Source organism: Homo sapiens, chromosome 8, assembly GCF_000001405.40.
Source record: "Homo sapiens chromosome 8, GRCh38.p14 Primary Assembly".
NCBI lineage: Eukaryota > Metazoa > Chordata > Mammalia > Primates > Hominidae > Homo > Homo sapiens.
In genome coordinates, this window is record NC_000008.11 from 121,565,958 (window position 1) to 121,575,840 (window position 9,883).

The 9,883-nt window shown below is 37.9% G+C and overlaps 1 annotated feature.

Moving 5' to 3' along the window:
* Positions 8,492-8,786: a silencer, noted in NCBI's record as "tiled region #7296; HepG2 Repressive non-DNase unmatched - State 24:Quies, and K562 Repressive non-DNase unmatched - State 24:Quies". NCBI's record gives its function as "represses a minimal TATA promoter and a strong SV40 promoter by Sharpr-MPRA in HepG2 and K562 cells {active_cell/tissue: HepG2 | K562}" and the evidence as "EXISTENCE:reporter gene assay evidence [ECO:0000049][PMID:27701403]".

Here is a 9,883-nt window from a genome sequence, read left to right on the forward strand (position 1 = left end):
AGTAGCAAATATTTGAGATAAACAAATCTAAAGATCTAATGTACAACATGAGACTATAGGTAATAAACTTGTACTATATTTGGAATTCATGCTAAATAAGTAGATTTTAGCATGCTCTTGTCACAAAAATAACAAAAAAAATGGGTAACTGTGAGACTATGGCTACATTAATTTGCTTCCCTAAAGTAACCTTTTGTACTATCTATATGTATCCCATAATATCATATTGTATATCTTAAATATACACAAGAAAACTTATTTTTAAAATAAGAGACTTGGGGTCTGGGCTGGGCGTGGTGGCTCACGCCTGTAATCCCAGCACTTTGGGAGGCTGAGGTGGGTGGATCACGAGGTCAGGAGATCAAGACCATCCTGGCTGACACGGTGAAACCCCCATCTCTACTAAAAATACAAAAAATTAGCCAGGCATGTTGGCGGGTGCCTGTAGTCCCAGCTACTCGGGAGGCTGAGGCAGAGGAATGGTGTGAAACCAGGAGGCAGAGCTTGCAGTAAGCCAAGATCATGCCACTGCACTCCAGCCTGGGTGACAGAGCGAGACTCCATCTCAAAAAAAATAAAAAAATAAAAATAAATAAAATAAGAGCCTGTAATCCCAGCACTTTGGGAGGGTGAGGTGGGCGGATCATGAGGTCAGGTGATCCAGAACATCCTGGCTAACATGGTGAAACTCCGTCTCTACTAAAAATACAAAAAATTAGCTGAGCGTGGTGGCAGGCGCCTGTAGTCTCAGCTACTTGGGAGGCTGAAGCAGGAGAATGGTGTGAACCCGGGAGGCAGAGCTTGCAGTGAGCCAAGATCGTGCCACTGCACTTCATCCTGGGCGATAGAGTGAGACTCCGTCTCAATAAATAAATAAATAAATAATATAAGAGGCTTGGGGTCCGGATTTATAGTCTGGTTTTCCCCTTGTATTCCTCACCATTATGATGAGTCTTTTTGAATAACTATTAGTCTGTTCTTACGCTGCTGATAAAGACATACCCAAAGCCCTAATTTACAAAGGAAACAGGTTTAATTGACTCACCGTTCCACATGGCTGGGGAGAACTCACAATCATGATGAAAGGTGAATGAAGAGCAAAGTCACGTCTTACATGGCAGCAGGCAAGAGAGCATGTGCAGAGGAACTCCCCTTTATAAAGCCATCAGATCTCATGAGATGTATTCACTGTCACAAGAACAGCATGGAAAGACTCACCCCCATGATTCAATTACCTCCCACCATGTCCCTCCCATGACATGTGGGAATTATGGGAGCTACAACTCAAGATGAGATTTGGGTGGGGACACAACCAAACCATATTGTTAACCTAGAAACTTATTCTACTATACAGATAAGGAGTTGTTTCAATTCAGGTGTATGGATCTCAGTCAATACTGGGAAGCAAAAAGTTATTTACAATTATAATATTTAATGAGTCTGAAATTAGAATACAACGTCAGGAAACCAATTTTTCTCCTAATTTTTAAGCATACGTTTTAGAGGAAGGATGCATTATTTTTTAAAGTTTTTTTCTATTATAAATGCAATATATAATTATAGAAAAATTAGATGATATTGGAAAGGTAGAAAAGTAAAAAATACATATTTTTCTCAGTTTTGTCTATGCATAATTTTTTTCTTATTTGTTTCACATAGTTGAACTTGCCTACTTATGTTTAATAATATTTATCATTTTTCTCATTACAAAAGCAATCAATTGCCACTGGAGAAATTTAGAGAATACGAAAACCACTAAGGACCAATAAAAGTCAGCTATGGCTCCACACCCACATGCAACCACTTAAAATTTTATTTTTGTAGAAAAGCAAACAAAGATACAAACATTAAATCATGCAAATCAGACCTGATGAAAAATAACTTAGAAAAACTTTCTTGGCCAGGTACAGTGGCTCATGCCTGTAATCCCAGCACTTTGGAGGCCCAGGTGGGCAGATCACCTGAGGTCAAGAGATCAAGACCATCCTGGCCAACGAAACCCTGTCTCTACTAAAAATACAAAAATTAGCTGGGTGTGGTGGTGTGTGCCTGTAGTCCTAGCTACTTGGGAGGCTGAAGCAGGAGAATTGCTTGAACCTGGCAGGCAGAGGTTGCAGTGAGCCAAGATTGTGCCACTGCACTTCAGCCTGGTGACAGAGTGACACTACATCTCAAAAAAAACACAAAACTTTCTCAATTTCAGGTTTCTCTGTCTAGACACAAGTACTCCTACTTGAGAAATACTTTTTCTTTCTCCCTGCTTTTGTCCATCATCCTACAAGAGTTTTCTCTGGATTCTCCTAGCCATAGAGAAGGCATCACCTCTCACGTGTTGCCTGGAGCAATCTCTGTTCAGGCTGGTCATCACCCCTCTTTGAAACAGTAGCTTTAAATTTAACCTGATTGGAGGCTCTTACAAAGCAATCTCCTCAGTGGTGTTCCCCTCTCACCTCTGCAGAGTGTCTCTCTCCTGGATAGAATCACAGCTATGATACATAAAAGCAGTACAATCTGGGCAAGTTTCTTACTTCGACCTCCTCAATCCTACAGTAGAAACAATAATAGCATATACATGAAATTGTGGCAAAGATTACATGACTCAACATACCCAAGGCTCTTAGAATAGTGCTTGGCATGCAGTAAACCCTAGATACACGTTACTGTCATATGGGGTTGACCTTCCAAGTGAATTTCTTCTTTTAGCTATTTTATTAATAATTCTGTGTTATTTTTTAGTTATTAGTGTAAAATGAGATGATGTTTTGAAATATCTGTGTGTACTATAAGACCTTGGTGTTGGCATTTATCTCCAGACTTTTTTTTTCTCCAGACTTTTCAGAAGGAAAAATCCTGTCTTGGGGCTACAAGGTTTTCACACACCTGTGCCCCACCTTATCACTCTAACTTTATCTCTTTATCCCTGCGGGCCCCAGTTCCATCAATGTCTGCTCAGCTTGACGTTGTTCTCCAGTAAACCAGACCTTGCTCAAATCCCAAAACTTCTTTCAAATTCTGCCCCTGTTAATCCCTCTAAAAACTTTCTGGTGGCATTGCTGATTTGTGGATGCCACTTTTTATGCATAACTCTCTCTTTTTCTTCTACATTTGCCTTTTGTTGCCTCATCTGAACTATAACTTATTGAAGATAATGTTCCTTCCTTCTAAAGCACCTAACACAAAAGGACCGATTTTTGTACATTTTGTTTTTGTTAGTATTTTTAGAGCCAAATTCATCTTTCACAGAATCTATGAAGATGTATATACTGGTAATGTTTGGGACTTAGTGAGGAAGAATTTCCAGAAAAATTATAGTAAAGATTGAAGTGTAAAAAGATGTAAATAAACAGAAAAAAATGTAAATATCATAAGTTGTCTAACCTACAAAGTAAAGCTACCGTAGCTTTTTTTTGTCCATATTTCACTGGCTGTTGTGATAAATCACTCCAAAGAGCTGTTGCATTCTCCAGGGTTCCTGAGGTCACTACTTTCTAGCCCTGCACTAAAAACCAGGTCCTACATAGGACAAATACTCTTCAAAATATCTATTCTTCCTAATAAAATTGATTTACACATCTAATTTAGGTTTATTGAAGACATTTTAGAAAATAAATTTTTTACTCAATAAATAATTTACTCAATAATTTACTCAATAATTATTTGAGTAAATAATACAGGCAAATAATTAATATCTTTGCTATGTTAAATCTATTTTGATTTTGCTATTAATTTGATTCACATTGTGTTGTAAAATACAAAGTATATAATTTAAACGCAATAGCACCCATCAAACATATACACATTCGTGAACTTTGACAAATGCACAAATTCATGTAACCACCACCTCAGTTAAAATGTGAAACTTTTCCATCACTACAAATGCTTTCTTAGCACCCTTTGCAGTCAGTTTCTCTCTACTCCCTGCCTCCAAAATCACTGATTTGCTTTCTATCACTCAAGACTTTAAATAGTACTAAACCCTAAATATACAGTTGACCCTTGAGCAACTCAGGGGTTAGCGGCACTGATCTCACAGTAAATAATCTAGGTATAACTTTAAACTCCCCCAAAATTTAATTACTAACAGCCTACAGTTGGCTGGAAACCTTACCAATAACATTAAGACTCAATTAACACATATTTTGTATGTTATGTGTATTAAGTACTGTATTCTTATCATTAAGTAAGCTACAGAAAAGAAAATATTATAACAATCATAAGGAAGAGAAAATAAAAAAGAGAAAATTGACGTGCTTCCAGCGTCACTAGTGGCACTTTGTATGGGTCCCATGGTGTTACTCAAGGTTTACAGTATTGCACTAAACACCATGAAAAATATTTGAGTACCACAAGATATCACTTTTTACTGTGATACACAATTTACTGGAGAGAGAGAAGGCTCACACAGAGATGATTAGTGTCACATGCTGTTTTAAGCAGCTACTCACAACACTAAAGCTCACCACAATAGTAACAGGAGGTGGCTACAAAATTGTTACAGTATTATAGTACATATTACAAGTTAATTGTAAGCATTTATGATTTCATACCGCATCTTTATGTTTGTTTATATTTCTCTGGACTACAGATGGTGCCATATACAATCTGTAAGTATTTGTGTGCTAAGTTTGGAGAAATTTTAAGTTTTTATAATAGATTTGTTTATATTTTATAGTAGTAAATAATAAAATAGACTAACGTCTACATATATTTCATGAATTCATGATTTACCTTTTTCTTTTTTTTTCTTGGTATTTCTAGGCTGTGTGGTTTGTGAGTTTTTCACAAATTGTCACACATGTACAAAAGAATTTTCCAATATATTTACTGAAAAACATCTCTATATAAATGGACTCATAGTTCAAATCCATGTTGTGAAAAGGTCAATTGTACTGTTTTTTCCTATACATACATACCTATAATAAAGCATAATTTATAAATCAGACACAGGAAGAGAGTAACAAAAATAATTAATAATAAAATTAAATAATGATAACAATATACTGTATTAAAAGCTATGTGAATGTGGTCTCTCTGTCTCTCAGAATATCCTATTATACTGTACTCAGTTATTTTCAGACTGCTCTTGACCTCTAGTAACTGAAACTGAGGAAAGTGAAACCACGGATATGCAGAGACTACTGTAAAAAGAATACGGTATACATAAGTATTTTTAAAAGAAGGCATACGGTATTGTGGAAACTATAAGTGTATTCGACTCAATCAGGGTGTTCAAGTAGGTTCAAGTAATGCATCTCTAGACAAGCTCCTCTCCCATTCCTTCCAGTAGGAATTTCAAATTTTTCTCCACTTTCCTCAAGCATGTTATTCTACTACCAACCTCCTCATTTTTGGTAGAGTTTCTCCACAGACTTCTTTTTTTGTAGCCAACATTCCAAACATATATAAGCAATAACACAATCCAAGTTGTTTTTTTTTTTTTTTTTTGAGACGGAATGTCTCTCTGTCGCCAAGGCCGGAGTGCAGTGGTACAATCTCGGCTCACTATAACCTCTGCCTCCCGGGTTCAAGCAATTCTCCTGCCTCAGCCTCTTGAGTAACTGGGATTACAGGCAGTTGCCACTACGCCAGGCTACTTTTTGTAATTTTAGTAGAGATGGGGTTTCACCATGTTGGCCAGGCTGGTCTCAAACTCCTGACCTCAAGTGATCTGCCCGCCTTGGCCTCCCAATGTGCTGGGGTTACAGGAGTGAGCCACCATGCCCAGACTTTTTTTTTTTTTTAATTTGTAGTCACTTTATTAACCTGACTACACAGATATAAGCAGCATGTAATCAGAAAGTTACAAGTAAACAAAAATGATACATAAAAATTTCTGTTCACAAAAGTCACATATGCAAGCACATGAATTAGAAGTTTAAGTGTAGAATTATGGCTAGACTATTTTTAAAATGCAGAAATGTAAAATTACCTCTTGAAAACATGAGAGATGGTCTACCCCTCTCAAAAATCAAATCTTGCTGCAGGATCTCCACCGACTTTTAACAATATGTTTTTTTCTGAGAAGTCTTCCCTCAATCTAATATTCTATTGACTGATAACATTATTTCTCTTTATCTTGGAGATGTAAAATCTTGTTTAGGATGTATATATGTGAGGATTTTTTAAAATTACTTTCTCTTACAATATGATGATCTCTTTCAAAACTGCTGATCAGCAAAGAAGTTTTTCTTCAATTATGTCATTGATGATTTCAACTCATCTAAGATCATATTATTTTCAATGTTAATACCTGTAATTCTTAGGCTAGTTCTGTTTTCTCTGTCCTCCATAGTCATCATGTTTACCCTTGCTTTCATCTTTTGTCATTTTTTTTCTTTCTTCCATGAGCTTTTCTCATGTTTGTCCTGCTCATCACTGATTTATCCTGGTCAGAAACTCCTCATATATCCATTTTACAAAATTACACTGGTATTTGCAATGACCTGGATGAGACTGGAGACTATTATTCTAAGTAAAGTAACTCAGGAATAGAAAACCAAACATCATAACTTATCGCTGATATATGGGAGCTAAGCTATGAGGACGCAAAGGCATAAGAATGATAAAATGGATTTTGTGGACTTGGAAGAGTGGGAGGGGTCAAGGGATAAAAGACTACAAATATGGTGCAGTGTATACTACTTGGCTGATAGGTGCACCAAAATCTCACAAATCACCACTAAAGAACTTATTCATGTAACCAAATACCACCTGTACCCCAATCACTTACGGAAAAATAAAATTTTTTAAAAATGACACTTGTACCCCATAAACTTAGATGAACAAAATAAAACAAATTTAAAACCTCTCCAATGTTTATTTTACTCTCTACTGCTACTGCTATGCATTTTAATACAGCTATCTTTATTTTCTTTGTATATTTCACCTCCTTTCCTTATTATGTAATTTTGGGGTTTTTTCCCCTATTGTGTTACTTCTTTCTCTCAGGTATCATTTCCCTAGAATCTTTGCTCCTATTTTATAAAAGGCCTCTTGTATTCTTGTAAAATTTTATGTCAAAATTTCCCTTTGCCTGCTATATAAAATGTATTTCAGAAGAGGGTTCTTCCTGTGAGTCTTCAGAATAACGGAACTTTTCCCTTTCTGCATATTTATTGGTCCTACGGTTTCTGATGTTGGGACTGTTGTCTTATTTTGTTGAAACTAATTTTGAAAGAAGGAAAATTCTATCCAGACATGGTGTTTGACAACAAGTCTCTGCAAATTGCCTTTGGCTTTTCTCACTGCCCATTTGGCTGTTAGTTCAATCCTGTGTTCAGATTAATTGCTGGGTCAAGAAGGGAGGGTAGGAGTGAGAGTTTAATATGTTTTATATGGACCCCATTTCCAAGCATGCACTCATTTGTTTTAACTTTTCTGACTTGAAATGGGATTCTCTCTAATTCCTAGTGCCTAATTATTTATTTCTCTAAACCTAATTTCCCCAGTGTTTTCACTAATCAGAGATCAGGGCTTGTCCTATCTCTGCCTTGCTCTGTTCCTTACTTAGCCCACTTCCAAAATTGTTTTATTATGGAAACATAACTCCCACAATGTAATGCTTACTGCTTTGTGAAAAAGGAGATAAAGATGTTATACATTCATAGTTTTGTGTCCCTAGTGGGGTAGAGAGAAGTTTTTGTTTGTTTGTATGTTTGTTTGTTTGTCTTTGAGATGGAGTCTTGCACTGTCGCCCGGGCTGGTGTGCAGTGGCACGATCGCGGCTCGCTGCAAACTCCACCTCCCAGGTTCAAGCAATTCTCCTGCCTCAGCCTCGTGAGTAGCTAACATTACAGGCTCCTGCCACCACGCCTGGCTAATTTTTTGTATTTTTAGTAGAGACAAGGTTTCACTATGTTGGCCAGGCTGGTCTCGAACTCCTGACCTTGTGGTCCACCAGCCTCGGCCTCCCAAAGTGCTGGGATTGCAGGCGTGAGCCACCACGCCTGGCCGAGAGTAGTAGGAAAATTACTCTAACTCACAAACATAGAACTAAGCGTTAGAGGGGAAATTGATGAATTTTCTTGTTCGTAATAGTTTAACCAATATTTGAATTGAGGTCTGTTTGATTACATCGTCCAAGTTAATATAGTAGATACTGCTTCTTGAAGCCAATATATTGCCTTAAAAAGATAGAACCAGAAACTTTTCTATCCTGTGTTTACTACCAGATACACAAAAGAGGACACTTTTCTAGCCCTCACAGATGCAAACATCCACTCATAAAATAACACAGTCAGGTGGGTGCAGTGGTGCACACCTATAGTCCCAGCTACTAGGCTGGGGCAGGAGAATCACATGAGTGTAGGAGTTTGAGACCATTCTGGGAAACATAGAGAGGCCCTGTCTCTTAACATAAAAAATAGCAACACAACTTCTGTGCTAAATTCTACAGTAGCGATAAGGTAAAGGATAAAGCCTTCTCATGCAAGCATTAGACAGTTGTTCCCATAATACGATCAACTCCTGTTTGTATAGAATACTAAAAGAAATGGGGTATTTGAGGTAAACAAGAACTGTGGGACATTAGGTGTGGTCTGATTCATGCCGAAACAGCAGGAGTATCACTCCCTTTGGTCTGGATACTGCAGTCCTGTTAATTCAGCCCCAGATCAAATTATTCTCTTGGCAGTCTCTACACAGTAGTGACTCATGTTGGGCTGGCAGTCAACTGAAATCACTAATCCCTCTCACACGTGCAGCTGTTCAGCTACGTCTCCCCCATCCTGGCCTGTGCGGCTCTTCTTAGAGCCTGAATGCTGTGTCTTCATATTGCATAAAATCATTTCATTTACTAGTATGGAAGATCCATACACTGCAAAATCATCATAACACAGGGACGAACTAAGTTTGAACTGTTATTAACTTGCCCTTTAAGTCTATAGGACTAAATACATAAGCAAGAGATGCAAAGAATTAGGAATAATGTCACTTTTTTCCAAACTCTCACATCTAATAAATCAACAGTTTTCTTCTGTCCTCCTCCTGAATGGAGAAGAGATCCCACAGATTCTCTGAATTTATTTTTTCTCTGGAAAGGTCCCAGTGAGGAACTTGGGGAAATTCTTAAAAGGCACAGAGGGGCCGGGCACAGTGGCTCACACCTGCAATCCCAGCACTTTGGGAGGCTGATGTGGGCGGATCACCTGAAGTCGGGAGTTCGAGACCAGCCTGGCTAACATGATGAAACCCCATCTCTACTAAAAACACAAAAATTAGCAAGGTGTGGTGACAAGCGCCTGTAATCCCAGTTACTCGGGAGGCTGAGGCAGGAGAATTGTTTGAACTCGGCAGGTGGAGGTTGCAGTGATCTGAGATTGTGCCACTGCACTCCAGCCTGGGCAACAGAGTAAGACTCTGTCTCAAAAAAAAAAAAAAAAAGGCACAGAGGGACTACAGGTCCTCTAGGATGGTCACCTATTTCACCTCAGACTTCACTCTGAATGTCTGTATGTTCCATTGGGAAAGGTGGCTTCCCTCTTTCAAATGACTGGGCCACGCTAAAAGGAAACTAATGTTTTTCTGAACATTTGCTCTATTTATTTAGGTTTAGGCATTTATGTGTGTTATTTTTATCATTGCGCCAACCTTGTAAGTTATATATTACTTTTTCTTTTATTGTGACAGAACCAGCAGTACAGAAAGAATAAGGATATTATCCCAAGTTACACAGAAAGTAAATGAGAGAACCAGGATTTGAGCCTCAAACTATCTGGATTTAAGGCCTAATCTATTCAATGTACCTCACAGATACTCCTTGTTGATGTACAGAAAGCAGCCAACCCTAGGAGAAAAGCTCTAGGGTGGAAAAATTAAACGAAAAACTATCCTGAAGGGAAGATAAGGAAGTAGTATAGTTACTTTGGTCTTAGTTTCCAGAGCA